We start from the raw sequence: 16,867 nt of genomic DNA on the forward strand, positions 1-16,867 counted from the left end.
ATCCCAAAATAGATTTTAAAGCTTTCTAGTTCACAGCCCCAGTAATGAAACAAATGGGCGGAGAACAAATGGGCGGAGAAGACAACCCAGGAATCCTTCATTCCATCTGCTTATTGGGGAGCAATGATGTCTTCATCTCTTGGGCTAGAGGAGTAGACCAGCTTCCAACTTTCTACTCTAGCACATGAGATGGACAAACCCAGGGAGGCGCTGCAGGATCTGAGCCTGAGGGTCCTTGGGCCTTGAGCAGAGGAAGCCTCTCCCGTGAGTGTGGGCTGGCCTCCTGCACTGGCTTCTATGCCCATGGAGATGAGGCTATAAAAAGACTGGCTGTGTCTCCTGGTGCATTCTCCACTTGCTCCTAGATCACGTGCTGTGGGAGACGCTGACGGCAAGGCCTCGAGGCGGCCCTGTGGAGAGGCCCATCAGGCGAGGGAAGGTGGCCACCTACAGCCACAGGCATGTGCCTGGAGGCCAACCCCCAGCCTGGTCCCCCAGCAGCTGGGCCCCCAGAGGAACCCTGGCTGAGCATTTGACTGGACCCCCAGGGAAGACGAGACAGGGACCCTGCTGAGATGCACCCAGACTCCGGACCTTCAGAAACTCCAAGGTAATAAATGTCTGCTATTTGAAGCTGCTAAGTTTTGAGGGAATCTGTTGCAAGCAATAGATAACTAATATACTATAACCAGTAAACATGCCAACTGAATCAGTAACAATAACAAAACCACTCCAGCCTCAGTGGCTTCAGGCTCCAAGTACCTCTTCTTATACTGGGGCCGACTGAGCCCCCCTTGCCACAGGGCTATGCCTTGGGGCCAGCAGGGCCCTCTGCTCCAGAGGCCTCTTTCGGGGGCTCAAGGGCAACCTGGGTGCCGTGGGCTGGGTTTCTGGGATGCAGACTGGGTGGGCTTCAGTGTGCAAGGTGGTTGAGGTGTCCTTGGGTTGGCAGCTGTGACAGGGGAGGAGGGAAGGCAGTCAGCCTAGGGAGGGGCTCAGGCACTTTCCGGGAAGCCAGCAGGCCTTGAGTTGTCCTAAGTTGGGCCAAGGTGGCCTGGTGCTTACGCTGCCCGGCACCCAACTGATTAGTCACTGGATGCGGGAGCCTGGGAAGGGGCGCTGCTGAGGGTCAGGAGCTGTGGCTGGTGTTTGGACTCCAGTCTCAGAGGTGTGTTTGCCCGGCTGTGGGCAGGTGGCTAAGCCTGGGCCCTGGGCCTCTCTCTTTGGCCTTGTTCTCTCCAAGATTATTTCCAGCTCTCTATGGCTTGGTAAGTGTTTTGGGGGAGAAGATAATGTAAAGATTTAAATTACTGGACATTTAAAATGAAGACACTCCTATGGGACCTGATTATGCAGGCAGAGGGGGACGGGCCTGCCGCTGGTCTGGGTCTAGGGGCCGTCCCCATGGGGTCCAGTGATTCCCATGCAGCCATCCGGATGGGACCCAGGGCACTGGCCATTCGGCCCACAGGGTCCCAGACATGCGAGAGCCAATGAGGAAGAGAGCGCACGGGCAGAAACCAGAGCTGGGAGGGCAAGTAACGCAGTCTTTATTTACACCACAAGATAACACGTTGCGTGATGTGGTACAGAATACTGGACTCCAGTGAAGTGGAAAGAAGGTGACCGTCAGAAGAGGATATCATTGGTCGGTGAAAATCCACCCACACAAAACAAGACAAGAATGAGAAAACCAAACACAAAACCTCCAACTCCACTGAGCAAAAGAAAGAACCATCGGGCACGTCCAGACAATCCAAGAGAAACGGATTAAATTACAGAGGTGAATGGTGGCCACGGCCAGTGCGCAGCTCACGGCGGGCGCGAACAGGCATCAGGTAGGTTACAGTGTCGTTACAACTTGGTTTTCTACCACATTCCGTAAGAAGCTCTTGGGTGAGTAAGGTTCAAGCCCCCTGTATAGATAGATAGATAGATAGATAGATAGATAGATTATATATGTTTGTCATTCTCATCAATTGGAAAATAGCGCCTCCACTATGGAGCACACACGGCAAAAAAAACAAACAAAAACTGTTCGCTTTCTTTTTCTTTCAATAGCAGACTTTTAATCAATGCCAGAGACAAAGTGAGGCCGAGCTAAGAACACGCTCAGCTTCGTTACAATGAAGAAATGGTTTCCTTTCGATGCAAAGTATAATTGTAAACCACAGTGCTCGCACAGTTCACGACTGCTTAAAGTGAAATCTTAGCCATACATCACCTAAAAGTAATTAAAAAGTCAACACAGCTGTGCGGAAAAGGGGACTCTTTCGAGTCCGCCCAGTTCTCAATCAGAATAAACCGTCACAAGGCCAGTGAGGGCGGGCGGCGCTCGCCTGGCCCGTGGAAGGAGATAAAAGGAAACAAACAAAACAAAACAAAACAAAATTCCTCCAAATCAACTCGAGAGAGACAGGCAGTTCACTGTGAATTCTGAGTAGTTTCCCTAAAACACTGTTTCCACATAAATACAATAAACTCTATTATTGGTATGTCACAAGTGCTAGATAAACTTTTTTTCTTAATATGACAAATGTTTAAGTAGTCCTTTTTATTTTTCTTACAATAAAAAGTACAATTTCTTAAGAATAAGTTCAATAAGACGCAAACTTCCCCGCCCTCCTCTCCTTCAAGGTTTTGTTTTACAGAAAAATTTCCATCTTTTGTATCTGCAAATGTCATGAGAGGGGAACAGAAAGGCATTTTTCTTCTTCCCCAAAGCTGCCGAGTTTGGCGTGCAAAATCTGTATACAATATAAAGTCATGCCGGTCGTACAGTCCATGCAACCTCCAGGTGTAGGAAACTTAAAAAAATATATTCATATATATTTATATCTATATATTTATATATGTATCAATGCCCATAAAACACGTGGGCCCAAAGTCTACAAAAAGAAGAATGGAATGAGCACGTGGCTGTGACCAGTAAAGAAGGAATGTTCTGATCAAAAAGAAAAACAACAAAGTCCATTGCTAGTGCTGCAAAAATCAAACTTGCTTTTGTGTCAGACCATTACGAAATGGTCCTTCCCCTTGCAAACAGATTTTCAAAAGAAGTAAAGAAAAACTGAAACACCTTGACAAAGTGGCCCTCCAGAACCAGAGCCCTGGGACGCTGGGGAGGGGCGGCCAGTCCCAGCGGGCCACGGCCTCCGGGACAGCCGCCTGCTGGTGGGGCGTGGGCACGTGGGCACGCTGCGGCACGGCGGGAAGCCGCGAGGGCAGGGCAGACGCCAAGAGGCCCAGTGGCGTCATCAGGGTTTCCCTCAAAGGGATATAAAGTGCTCGCTTGCTGACTCCCAGCCAGTGCCCCCAAGGCCTTTGCAAAGGAAGAAAAAGGCTAAAGGTCCAAGGACCCACAGGGAGAACACATGAAGGAACCCTCCCTGACGTGGTCCCGCCTGCAGACGCCGAGGCAGATCCTCTGCCATCTGCCCTGGACGCTTGCTGTGGAGAAGAGCCGAGTGTGTCTTCAAAGAAAAGGCTACACAGTAATGCTCTCAGCACATTTGTGAAGCTGGAGTGAGCTGACAGATGAAACGTGCCTCCCCCTGCCAGGCCTTTGCAGAGGGCGTCTCCATTTGAATGAGATTAGAATTAAGTCCCCCCACTGATAACCTGGCCACTGAGCAGTCCATGTTATCCCATCATCTGCTTAAAAAAAAAAAGTGAGATGATGCATTCCTCCCCATAAGCCACGGCGGGGTAAGAGGGCAGGTGGCAGGATCCCCAGAGGGCTATGCAGAGAATGAGGCCAAGGAGGCCAGAAGAGCCTGCTAGCTGGGCCCTGCCACTGCTCTGTGCCATGAATGGGGAATGGACCAGCTCCTCTTGCCAATCTGGGCTTCAGAGCAAAGAGTGGCCACCAGGGAGGGGAAAGTCAAACAAGTCCCAAGACCGTTCTGCCTGCTCTCAAACCACTGTCTCAGAGCTGACCATCAGCAGCCCAGTGACCAAGTGAATCCAAGAATCTGCACTCATTTGGTCAAAAGTTTGAGTTAATTTCAGAAGCTACCCTGTAAACTTTACCAAACTCCGAAACTCGGCTCTGGGTCCCTCCTGAGCACGGTGTGTCTGAACTTCTGCCCCCAAGTCTGAACCCAATATACACTTTGGAATGAAACTGGTGGCTTCATGTGCTGGAAAATAAGTTACCAGTAAAACGTGACTGTCAGTTACTGTTGAAGAGAAAAAGAGTAAAGACTGGCTGTCCTGGTCAGGCAATCATACCCTCCCTGCAGGTTCACCAGGCAACAAGGGTCCCTGGGTTCCTTGCAGCCACAGGCTCCAAAATCCAGGGCTGGCCACGTGGCTGCAGTGGAAAAACCCAAGTGGGTAAAGAGCCCCACGTGTGCCCCATGCATTGCTGACATGCTCAAAAGGTCTTTGGAAAACTCAAGTTAGAATTCTATCCTGACGATGTGGTCAGAGAAGTTTAAACATGAGTTTCATTAATGCTGACTGCCCCCGGCATCTGGCAAGCCTCCCAGGGTGGCCGGGCATCCTAAGCAACCCTCCCTGCCCTTGCCACGGAGGGGAAAAACACACCACCCCTCGTAATACTACTAGTGTTGAAAGTTAAAAAGAGCCCCTGGGCTTCTTTATACAGCTCCTAGGACAGACCAGGAAAGACACAATCGTTGGTGTCACTCCGAAAAGACCTACGGTCCCTCCTCTCACTTTCTGAAAATAGAATCTGACAGCAACAATTCTGTACGCTGCAGAAAACTCATCGTACAAAAATAAAAACAAAAATAATTAAAAACCTTTGAAAGGTAAAAAAAAATGTACAAGCAAGAATTCAGAAAGGAAAAAGATTTAGACATTATTACCATTCAGAAAATTGCTAAATGGTGAGGAAAAATGTAAAATTCATAAAACAATGCTTATTCAGGATCTTTTTGTGAAAAAATTCATACAAAAATCAACAGCAAATTTATATTCTTTGCTATAAAAACTCATTAGGTACATATGTGCATGAAGGCTTGGAGACGGGAGCGGTTCTGTTAGAAAATAATTAAAATGAAAGTACAAACTTGTAGGGTAGTTGCCCAGTGGCGAATGTGTTGGCGATCTGAAATCTAGCCAATCTGGAGCTTGAGAAAACATGAATTTCAATCAATCAGGATCCCTTTCCATAAGCACCTTGAGAGCAAATTCACAAGCCATCCATTTGCAGGGACCTTCGCAATCTGCATTCATTTTATATATATATATATACTTTTTCTATAAATGCATTATAAATATTTTATCAAGATTTCATAAGAATCAAGTAAGTTTCTTAGCTTGGAATACATTGGAATATATATTATACATATATATATTTATTTATACCTAAAATTTAAGCAATACTTCATGCTACTTGCTTTTAATAAAAAGCATTCCGATCGTAACACTGCAAGTGTGCCTACCACATGCTTCACGACCAGATGGAGATGCTCAATCGTATGTGACGTGTGAGAACACTTTGGATTCGTTTAAAATTTGTTGGACTTCAAAACCTCCAACGGGATTTGCCACTTTTTTGGAACTACCTCCATTTTTCTTAAACAGCAATAAAGCAAAACAGGGACCGCCGGGCTGCAGCCCCTGGCCCCGGAGATGACGGCTGGTGCCCGTGCTTGAGGCGTCAGGCCAGCTCGCGGTGCCAGCACTGCCAGGCTCGGCTGGCCACAGGAAACTGTCCCACCGATTCCTGCTGTTTGTTTTTTCTTAAGGCATTGTTCCTCAGACTTCAGAAAACCCAGCCACAAAAATCCACCAGAGCAATAAAAAAAAAGGCACAAACTCGCATCTTCCGATGGCTTTTGAGAAACTCAAGCCAGCTCCCCCAGCTCACATTCCTGTTTCTGTCCAGTTTTGTTTTCTTTAAAGGTCCCTCTGTCCCCCACCCGGGTGCAGACCCCCCGCCGCACACCGCTATGGTTCACAGAGGCGGGCCACAGCCGTAGAAAACGTCCTCTTTAAAAAAAAATAAGCTACAAGATGAGTCGAGTGGTTTACACAGAGACTGTGGAGTTGTGGGTAATAAACTTTAAGCACCAGTTTTAATCAAGTTTGTTTTGTATTATTAGATCTTTGATATTTGTTTTCTGTGCCTCGTGTCAACTGAATTCGGCAGCTCGGCCGCCTGTTGCCACAGGCTCCTTTCTTCCACGGCGTCCCTTGCGGGACCCGCCAGAGTGTGCTTGGCTTCCGCGTGTCCGTGTGTCTGCGCGTCGCCGGCGTCTGTCCCGTGTTCCCTGTGAGGCTGCCACGCCCAGGCGTGCATGTGCGTCTCGAGACCTGTGGGCCTGGGCGGCAGAAAGGCTTCCCGTGGCTGTTGCACGCTGGGTGTCCCTGGGTGCTCCAAGAGAGCCCCACGGTGGGACGCAGGCGTGACACGGGAAAGTTTCTTGGCTGAGCTTCAAGACAGAGACAGACAGACAAGAGAACAGCAGCTTCGAGGGAGTGCTACAGGGGCGGCTCCTCTTCCATGGGCTCCTCATCTGGTCTGTGGATCCCGCAAGAGAAGGAGATGGGGGCGTGGGGCAGGTGCACCACAGAGAGGAGAGAACAGAACGTGGGTTAAAGGCTGTGTGCTGCCCCACCCGCCAGCCTAGCCCTGGCCTGGCAGCCCCGGGTCCATCTGTTCAGGATCTAATGCTCCTCATGCGTCTCTAAGGGGCTTTGGCACTGGAAGGAGGGGGCCACACTGGCCTGTCTCTAGTCTGTTGGGCAGGGCATGTGCCATAAAGGTTCTGACCCTGAATAGTGTGTCAGTGGGCACAGTGGGGCTGGGTGAGCCTGCAGGCGGGCGGCAGGGCAGGTGCTCACCTCTTTTCGGCGGGCTTCACGCCCACGGACAGCGAGGCCATGGCGGTGACCGTCTCGGCTTCTTCGTTCTCGCAAGTCTGAGCCTCGATCAGAGAACGCCCCGCTGTGGAGGTTGTGCGCTGCAGGCAGCGCCAGTACTTGCCTGGGGTGGTGGGGTGAGGAAAGTCGCTCAGTGACTACAACTTAGCAGGATGCACTGAGGCCCGGGAAGGTCCTGCGGGACCCTGAGCCTCAAACCAGATTGATCCCTTATGATTTTAAAAGCACCCGTCTTTGAAGAGACACGAAGCAGAAGACTGCATGGCTACAAACTCACAAAGACCCAAAAAATCTCTGGAAATGTTTCCCCATTGTGAGTGGCTCGAGTCCCTCCAGGAGCAGGCCCACCTAGGACTGCAGAGGGAGGCTCCTGTAGGCCTGGCTTTCCACGCTCACGGGCCCCTTTCTGCCCTGGGTGGCCAGGGCAGGGGGCTGCCAGCCTGCTGGGTTGAGCCTTCCTATCTCTGGGAGCAGGTGAGCTGGGGGATTGTCGCTGGGGCTGAGGGGTCTTCTGCCTGGGCCCTCACAGAGGCTGGGGGTGGAGGGGTACTGCGTCAGGCGCAAGGGGGTGTATGTGGAGGGCTGGGCCTGGCCCAGGGTCAGCTTCAGGGCTCTGAAGCCAGGACTCCCTCACACAGGGAAACGGGGAGCTGAGCTCTGGACTACCCCTGCTTCTGTGGACAGTCTCAACCATCTGGGTCATCTCAAAGGCAAGACAAGCTGGGCTTGCGACAATGACAGGGTGTGGGAGGCGCCTCTGAGATAGGCTGCGTGCCACGCCCTTGCACCCAGGACCTGCTGCTTGAGGGTCGGTGCCAGAACTCAGAGGGCCTACACCCTGCCTCTCTGCAGGGCCAAGGGTTCTTTGAGGTCAGGACGTGGGCTTCTCTGGTCCAGGGAAGAGGCCGGAGTCCCCAGGGTACAGGCTCACAGCCATGGCCCCCGCTGCTAGCTGGGGACCTAGAGCAAGTGACTCCACACTGAGACTGTCTGGGCCTTGATTCTCTAGACTTACAAATTGGGCTGATGGAACCATCCCAGCAGGCCGGGGGAAATCCAGTCGGGGTTAAATGTGAGTCTCTACCAGCTCAAGAAATGCAGCTGAAAGCAAGGCCTTCTGCTGCAGGCCTGGGGAAGCAGCCGGCAGTGGGATGGAGAAGAGCTGGGGGTATAGGGGGACAGGGATGGGGTGTGGTGCAGTCCCACCCCCAGGGGCGTGTCCCCTGTGAGCACCCAGCCAGGCAACTTACTGTGGATCTCCATGACTTTCTCCATGGAACGGACAGCGTTTGCATTGGGTCTTTGCTGTAAAACCTTTTCTGGGAGAGGATCAAGCTGGAAGAAAATGCATAAGAATATAAAGACTGCCAATATAATCCACACGTGCGTTAGACGGGTGTTCCGAGACTGCAACTGTTTCCTGAGCACAGAGACCCTTGTGGGGTGCATTTGCCCACAGAGTAGAAAAAAATAACTTTAAAAAGCCAAATGTGCCGTGGTATTTATAATTTTTTTGTAAAAGTGGATTTTTTTTTAGGACGCTATAAGATATTTGTGGGTTCCTACAAGTAGCAGGAAGAAAGACAGTCCCCAGGAGTGGGGCTGGCACCTGCACGTGAACTTGGTATCTGCCATCGACGCCACAGGGTTCCATGAGGGGGAGTGACGCTTACTTCATCACTTTTCTTTCCTTTGTCTTTTATTAATAAGTAAGAATGTCTGAATATCCCCTGATCTTGGTTTTCTTCCAGGGCAGCGGAAGGTGGGGTCGGGGGAGATGAAATGGAAGAAGTAGTCAGATCTCTCAGAGGGAATCCTTCACACCGAGTTTTTCCCTAAGTACTGGCAGCAGATAAAAGCAGGGAAGAAGTTTACAAGTCAATGACAGGGCAACAGGGCAAAGCATTTGCAACACAACAATTAAAAATGGTTGACTGGCCGGGCGTGGTGGCTCACGCCTGTAATCCCAGTACTTTGGGAGGCCGAGGCGGGTGGATCACTTGAGGTCAGGCGTTCCAGACCAGCCTGGGCAACGTGGTGAAACTCTGTCTCTACTAAAAATACAAAACTTAGCCAGGTATGGCGGTGGGCACCTGTAGTCCCAGCTACTCGGGAGGCTGAGGCATGAGAATCACTTGAATCCAGGAGGCGGAGGCTGTAGTGAGCCAAGATTGTGCCACCGCACTCCAGCCTGGGCAACAGAGTGAGACCCTGTCTCAAAAAAAAAAAAAAAAAGGTTGAAATGGATTATAAAAATATAGAAATACAACAGTTCAAGAACCTTTAAATAACTGGAAGAGCCCACAAAACCAGGGGAAACCTGCTGGGTCTGGAACAAAGCTGGACCTGAGTCAGAAGGCCAAAGCACCCATGTCCCCAGGTGTCCTGGAGCCAGCCTTGCTGGGGCTGGAAAGACCACTGTCAGGACAGGACGGGTGAGCGAGGACAGACGCACGACGACGTGTCAAACAGAGGCCATGGGAAGGAGCGTTTGGGTTTTAACTCTGGCTTCTGGGTAGAGGTGAAAAGACAAAGTGACCCTGAGAATTTGCCTGCTTCTAGACACTGGGAGTGGACAGCTACTATCGACAGTGGCAGCTCCGCCAGGCCAGGGCGCCAGGCAGAAACCACAGCAGGGCCTCTTTGGAGGCACACATACCCACAGCAGGCTTCAAATGAGCACAGCCGGTTAACTTCCAGGAAGCATGAGTTCCCAAACACAAAAACCCCAAACAACACGGAAGTGAGTCAGCACGAGCCTGGGTCAGGAGGGATGATGAGCGAGGTTCCCAATCCCATTCTCCAATGAAGGGAAGCAGGCTCCTTGGAGAACAGCTCGGTCCAAGGCTGGGGCGGGGAAAATACAAGACACGAGAGCCTGGAGCACCTCGTGGTGCTGGGAAATCAGGACGTGCCTGAAGGTCAAGGGACGGGGCCATCACAGGACATGCAGGGCCAGTCTGAAAGGTGCCCCAGGGCCAGAGCAGGAACCAGCTGGGCAGCAAAATCAACACCGTGGTATTGAAGCATGACCCAAAGTGTAAGAAAGACAGATACACAGGAGTTCACCGGGATATGAATAAATAACGAAATACACACACAGGGGAGCAGAGACAACTCCTTGAGCATTTCAAATAATGCACGTATCTACTCCCCTCTCCAGGAGGTGGGGCTTAAGGCCTCTCCAACTCTGTCCCCCTGAGTGTGCACTGCACTGTGACTTTCTTCCAAATAATACATTTGGAAAGGCGGTAAAAGCGTAACCCGATGGTGGAAGGACCCGGCAAACATCACTCTCAGCAAATGATCAAGGTCAGTGAGCCGTGCTGGCAGCACATCTGACAAGCGAATGGCATTTCGATCCTATGATCTTCCTCCCCAAAGCACAGAACCAGGAGAAGAAACTCAAACATGAACTGAAGGGCAGTCTGCAAAATCTCTGGCCAGTGCTCCTTGAAAAACCATGAAAGACTGAGAAAAAAGACACGAAATGACTAAATGTGACGTGTGATCCTGGACGGGACCCTAAAATGGAGAAAGGGCAGTTGTGGTAAAGCTGGTGACATCCAAATACATTCTGGAGTTAATAGTCATGGACCAGCATTGGTTTCTAAGTTGTGACAAACGACTCATATCGAAGTAAGATGTTCACAGTAGAAGACGTTTTCTGAGGGGGGATATGAGGAACTTGTACACGATCTCTACAATGTTTCTGTAAATCTCAGACTATCCAAAAATAAAAAGTTTATTAACTTTTAATAAGTTTTAATTGATTAGATCCTTAAAGATCGCAGTTACTGAAATGATCAGTTATAAATTATAAAAAGTAAATATAGTGAGTATGTATTAAAAATAAATGACATTTCTGTATGATGAAACAACCAGAGATTTATGAACGTGACATGGAAGATGTGAGACCCAAGCCAGGGGCAAAAAAACCCAGGAATGCACACCTAGGTACATCAGAGTAAAACTGCAGAACATCAAAAACAAAAAGAAAATTCTAAAAGCTGCTAGAGAAAACAGAATCTTCAAAGAGGTAGCCATTAGCCACACACCAACTCCTTAACAGCAATGGAGGCAAGCAGACAGTGGCTTAAAATCTTAAGCCAATCAATGTGTCAAGAGCAAATCCTTGTCAACCCAGAATTGTTTATCCAGTGAAACTATCATCCAAGAACAAGGGTGAGATAAAGACCTGCCTCCTCACAAACGCGAGCTGGGGAAGTTGACCACATGAGTGTTTTCCCAAGGGACACTCTAGTGGATGTATTATACTTAAGGCAGTATGAAAATAATCCTAGAAGACAGTGTGAGAAATGAGAAGGAATGATGAGCCAAGAAAATGACATAAGTACAGGAAAGCCTGGATGAACAGGGATGACATAGAGCAATAATAATGGTGTCTTATCAGTGAAATCAAACAAAAGAAAGAAGGAAATGAAACACCAGTCAGTGATATAACCTGGGATGGGGCACTGAGGCTAGGGCTGCCAGATTTAGTAAAACAAAAACAAACAAAACCATTCACGGCCCTGGTTAAATTTCAGTGTCTGATAAACAAGTAGTTTTGCAGTGGAAGGATACCCACCTGGGTGCTCTGTGTCTACTCTGGCACCCTAATTGGGGCTGGCCCAGTCCGGGCTTTGGTTTGCATGGAGGTGGGAGTGAGGATGCTGACTGTGTTGACAATACATGCTCCAATTGTTAAAGATGACGAATGAAAAACAAGAAAATAGGTTGCATATCTTTGGACTCAGTAGAGGGAACAAATGGAATGCAGGAAACCCTCAATTACCCCAAGAGAAGGCGAGAAAAGAGAAAAAGGAAAGAGCCACAGAAACTGGGGACAAACAATGAATAAGATGCTAAGAAGGCATCTGAAAAAAGGGATCAAACTAACAGCAAATGACCCACGTTTCCACTTAAAGCACAGACCACAGGATAGGACGTGAAAATAATATATTGCCCAGGCTTTTGCTGTTTATAGGAGACACATCTGAAACTTCAGGGGAAGGCTAAAAGTCCCAAAGGAAAACTGACGCTAGGCAGGCAAACCTGGCCAAAGGGCAGCTGGGGTCACAGCTCCAATATCTGGCACAAAAGATGTAAGGGAAAGGCCATTACTGGATATACAGGTTATTGTGATAAGACTTCAATTCATCACGAAAGGGCATAATGATGTCAAATGTCTATATTTAGTAAAGCAGCTTTAAAATGTCTAAGTAAAAATGGGTGCAATGGAAAGAAGACAAGAATATGTGTGTCCCACCATCGTGGGAGACTTTGCCATGTCTTTCTCAGATCCAGCAGACAATCGTCGGTCAGGAAAACCAAAGCGTGAACAATACAATTAGCAAGTTCTGTTTAATGAACACAAACAGAACTCTGGGAAACAGACGGAGAGGACACATTATCCCAAACACATGTGGAATGTCTCTGCAGGCTGACCACGCACTGGCCCGTAAAGCAAGTCGCCACAAAAAAATAAATGCCAACCACACTTCCTTTTCTTACCACAGTGCAATTTGTTAGAAATTGATAGCAAAAAGAGAACCATGAGTCCTTATGTTTGGAAATTAGAAAACACACCAACTCATGGCTCAAAGAAGAAATCATAACAGACATCAGGAAATGCTGAGAATTAAAAAGTAATGAAAAGTGCTACCTATCACGATGTGAGATGCGGCTGGATGCCATGTTGGAGCCATTTACAGCCCTAACTGCACACATCAGGAAAGACTAAAAATAAATATCCAATGTAAGAAGTTAGCCAGAGAACACAGTGGTCCTAAAGCAAGAAGGAAAGAAGATAGATGGGAAAGCAGACAAATTCTGAAAAGAAAAAAGGATGCTGCAGTTGAAAACTGATTCTCGGAAGTGCTTGAGTAAACTGACAGGCTCCGGCAGGACTGACGGAGGAAACCCAAGTTCGGGGGGGTACACAGGGACAACCCCAGGGATGAAAGGGGGCCCCGGCTACAGGCAGAGCAGAGACGTGAAAGGCAGGAAACTGGGGACACTTAACTCTTGCCAAGAAATCTGAAGAAATTCTGGTTGAAATGGAGACATTTCTGGTAAAATGTAACTTCTCAAAATTAAGAAGGAATAGGAAACTTCAATAGACCTATAACCATTAAAGTCACTGAATCTGTAATTTAAAATTTTCACCCAAAGTAAACCTGCGGCCTAGGAGAGTTCTCCCAGTCAAGGAACAGATTATCCTGATCCTACCTCCACTCCTCCAGAGGACAGGGAGAACACTCCTAGGGAGCCAGCTACCACCCACCAGCCTGGAGCACAGCTCTCCTGGGGGCCTTGGACCCATCCACCAGCCTGCAGGACAGTCCTCTGGGGGGCCTTGGACCCACCTACCAGCCTGCAGGACAGTCCTCTGGGGGACCTTGGACCCACCCACCAGCCTGCAGGAGAGCTCTCCGGGGGCCCTTGGATCCACCCACGTCCGTCACACTCGTAGTTCTCGAGAGTGACCGTGGACTGTGCTGGGCAACACAGCCTGAGATGTGAAGGACACGGGCTGGCCAGCCTGGCTCTGTCCCAGTCCTCCGCCGGTGGAAACAGGGCACCCTTCAGTGCTTCAGCTCAGTGTGTCACATGGCACTCGGGGTACAAAATTCAGGACAGGCTGTTTCCTAGAGGAGCGCACTGATGGGACTCCATCCACTGGGGCATTTCTGAGCCTTGGGGGACTGGCTCATGGTGCCCTGGGCTTCTGCCGTCCCCTGCTGCCTGTCTGTAAGTAGTAAATCTGCTGCACAGAATGTGTGTGTGGGTGTTGTCTCCCTGGACTCACACAGGCTGGTCACCAATGTGTGGAGAACCTGCTTCACACCACCGCTCTCTCCTTCTCTCCCTCTGTCCATCTGTCTAATTCACCCCACTAAGAACAAATAGGGAAAAGACAATCCAATAGAAAAACGGGTTGACATGAACTTCACAAGGAGGGAAAGCCCAGGTGGCCAATAGGCAGATGCGGGGCTGCTCTGCCGTGGCGGTCATGAGGAAGGGACCCTGGAGCCCTGCAGAGGGGCCAGTTTTACCCCCGTCCAGCTGGCAAAGGTCAAGGGCAACAATGCCAAGTGCTGCTGAGGTCTGGTCACGCCACTGCTGAAGACAGTTTTAACCCTTAAAAAGCCGCTTGATGTTATCTCCTAAAGGTGAACAAACACATCCTGGGCCATCTCCCCTCCTGGACGTTTACCGGAGACACGGCCACCTAGGTGTATTGGGGACTTGCCCGGAAGTTCAGCGTAACTCTGTCTGTCACAAGCAAACCCGGAGCAGCCCGCACCTGCCCCGGCCCGGGCCCGTGTGGGATGCACGCAGGCTCCTTTACAGAGGGGGCCCCAGGGAAGGGGGAGCGCTGAGATGTCCCTTACATCCCAACACCCAGGTAACAGGGCCCAGAGGGACGGCCCCGCTGTGTGTGGCCACAGCTCCTTCAACTCTGAAGGCCACGAGGCTGGGCTCTGTCTTGCTGAAAGTCGGCCAGGAAGGCTTTGGCAGCCCGGATGGAAAGAGGAGCAAGCGGGACACACGACGTGGACCCTGTGCGCGCCACAATCGGCTGCATGCAGATAAAACATTCACCGTTGGCACGGGGGGAGTGTGACTGAGTGTGAGTGTGTGGTGTGTGTAAGCATTCATGTGTATGAATGTGCGTGACAGCATGTGCTTGTGGGGTATGTGTGCGTGTGTGGTGTGTGTGTGCACGTGAGACTGTGTGGTGCATTCATGAGTATGCACGTGCAGATGTGAGACTGGTGCTTCTGTGGGTGTGCAGATGTGTGGTGTGTGCATGCACAAGAGGGCATACCTGTGTGGTGCATGTGATGTGTGAGACTGTGGTACCTGTGTGGGTGTGCGTGTGTGTGGTGTGTGCATGCACAAGAGGGTGTGTGGTGTGTGCACGTGTGACTGGTGCCTGTGTGGGTGTGCGTATGTGTGGTGTGTGCGTGCATGAGAGGGTGCACGTGTGTGCACGTGTGACTGGTGCTTGCGTGGGTGTGCATGTGTGGTGTGCATGAGCAAGGATGCACGTGCATGTGAGACTGTGGTGCCTATGTGTGGTGTGTGTGTACAAGAGGGTGGCCATGTGGGGTGTCAGTGTGAGAGGAAGAGTGACTGGAAGCAGGCAGCCAGCTCTCAGGTTAATCCAACTCAGTCCCTCACACACACTTGGTTTTCGTTACTTTGTTAGAGCTGTTTCACAACCACACCTTTCACAAAGCATCAGGACATAACTAATAAGCTAAACTCCCGGGGGAAAACCTTTTCCACACGACACCACCCTCCTGCTCCACGAATGTCTTCCACGAATCCTGGAGTGGGTTAAATGAGATGGTGGCATTTTAACCCTGAAATGCCCCATGACTAAAGTAGAAAATTGGCCCAAGCAAAAACCTGCTTTGGGCATGGTCTCAGACAGGAGAGACGGTCCTTTCCTAACCTCCCGGGGGCACGGGCCTGGGCCACAGATCCCCGTGGCCGTCTGGTGCAGGGTCTTTGATGGAAGTTGGCTGGAGGCCCGACTCGGTGCTGCGCCCACACGACTCCACGGCCCATCTACACTGCAACATGCAACACTCGTAGGGAACTTTTCACTGCCCATAGTCACTGGCAGTTGCAGATAACTGAACATGGAAACTATTAAATAAAATGGTTGCTGGGAACAGCACAGGCCTCCAGACCTACGCGCTGAAGACAGAGGGGTCGCTCTGATAGCGGGGACGCCAAGGCCCCTCTGCGCTTCCTGTCCCGCACACCCTATAACTCAGCCACTTCTGCAGCAACAGGGTCCCCGCAGGCCACTGCCGTCACAGCTGGCGGCCCCGCCTGTGTGTGCCAGATCGCCTGGCACACTGTATATCAACCTTCATCAAAGGCTGCCGGGCAGAGGGGCGGGGCCCAGGCCAACTCTTGTGCATTAAAGAGACTTTTAAAGAGACCTTGATAAAACTAGTGCTTCCTCCTTTTTGACGTGTTTAAGTAAAAGAACATTTTCTTGTTAGAAGCGCAAACACGCATCAGGAAGCAAGAACAGGCCACGGCTGAAAGCGAAGTTCCCTATTGTTATTTAAAATAACTAGCCAGAAGAACCATAAGGCTTCGGGATGGTAGAATATATACGTCAGTTGCCTTTTAACTGGAGCAAAAAGGGGGAAAAGACTGTTTGATGTGAAGAAAGGACCTGTAAAGTGCTTTGGACATTTTAAACAGCAGCCCGGTCTTTTATCCAGCCTGTCGCTGGCCAGCTCACCCGCTGCAGGGATGCCACCTGGATCTTTGATCTACTTGTGATTTATGTTAACATGAACACCATCCCTGACCAGCAAAGATGGCCAGAAGGCAGGGCGTGTCCTGGTACCTGCAGCCACTGCCCATGTCCCCTCTCGGCACCCCTCTGGCTGGCGCAGGCCCCTGCGATGGCCCAGGCTGCAGGTCCCAAGGGGCTCCCCTTGGCGATGCAAGGTCCTGACCCCGCCAAGGCCCTGACCTTGGCCATTGCCTGCTGTCGCTCCTCCGGCTAAGTCTTGTGCCCTTGGGGCTTGGCACACATGGGGTCTCGCATACTCCAGGTCTGCTGTCCCGGGGTCACGCACCCAGGGGTCTTGCTCTGTAGTGGGTCATGGAACCGTTCCCATCCCCCATCCTCCCAAGCCGGGCCGTGGCCCTGCAGTCTTTTTTTGTTTTTTTTTTTAGGCGGAGTCTCGCTCTCTCGCCCAGGCTGGAGTGTGGTGGCGCGATCTCGGCTCACTGCAGGCTCCGCCTCCCGGGTTCACGCCATTCTCCTGCCTCAGCCTCCCGAGTAGCTGGGACTACAGGCGCCCGCCACTGCCCCCGACTAATTTTTTTTTTGTATTTTTAGTAGAGACGGGGTTTCACCATGTTAGCCAGGATGGTCTCGATCTCCTGACCTCGTGATCCGCCCGCCTCGGCCTCCCAAAGTGCTGGGATTACAGGCGTGAGCCACTGCGCCCGGCCAGCC

At 50.6% G+C, this 16,867-nt stretch overlaps 1 protein-coding gene across 43 annotated transcripts in view; it reads right to left on the minus strand.

The window, feature by feature from the left end:
- Window positions 1,528-16,867, minus strand: part of HDAC4 (histone deacetylase 4) — a 353,482-nt gene continuing 338,142 nt past the window's right edge. For all 43 annotated transcript variants that reach the window (XM_047446489.1, XM_047446486.1, XM_047446483.1 and 40 more), the window contains 3 exons: window positions 8,109-8,193; window positions 6,820-6,961; window positions 1,528-6,496 (listed from right to left, as the gene is read on the minus strand). In XM_047446489.1, coding sequence (XP_047302445.1) covers window positions 6,457-6,496; window positions 6,820-6,961; window positions 8,109-8,193 — 267 coding nt within the window. In that variant the 3' untranslated portion in view covers window positions 1,528-6,456. The remainder of the gene's footprint in view (window positions 6,497-6,819; window positions 6,962-8,108; window positions 8,194-16,867) is intronic.

The sequence above is a fragment of the Homo sapiens genome, chromosome 2 (genome assembly GCF_000001405.40).
Source record: "Homo sapiens chromosome 2, GRCh38.p14 Primary Assembly".
In the NCBI taxonomy this organism is placed as follows: Eukaryota; Metazoa; Chordata; class Mammalia; order Primates; family Hominidae; genus Homo; species Homo sapiens.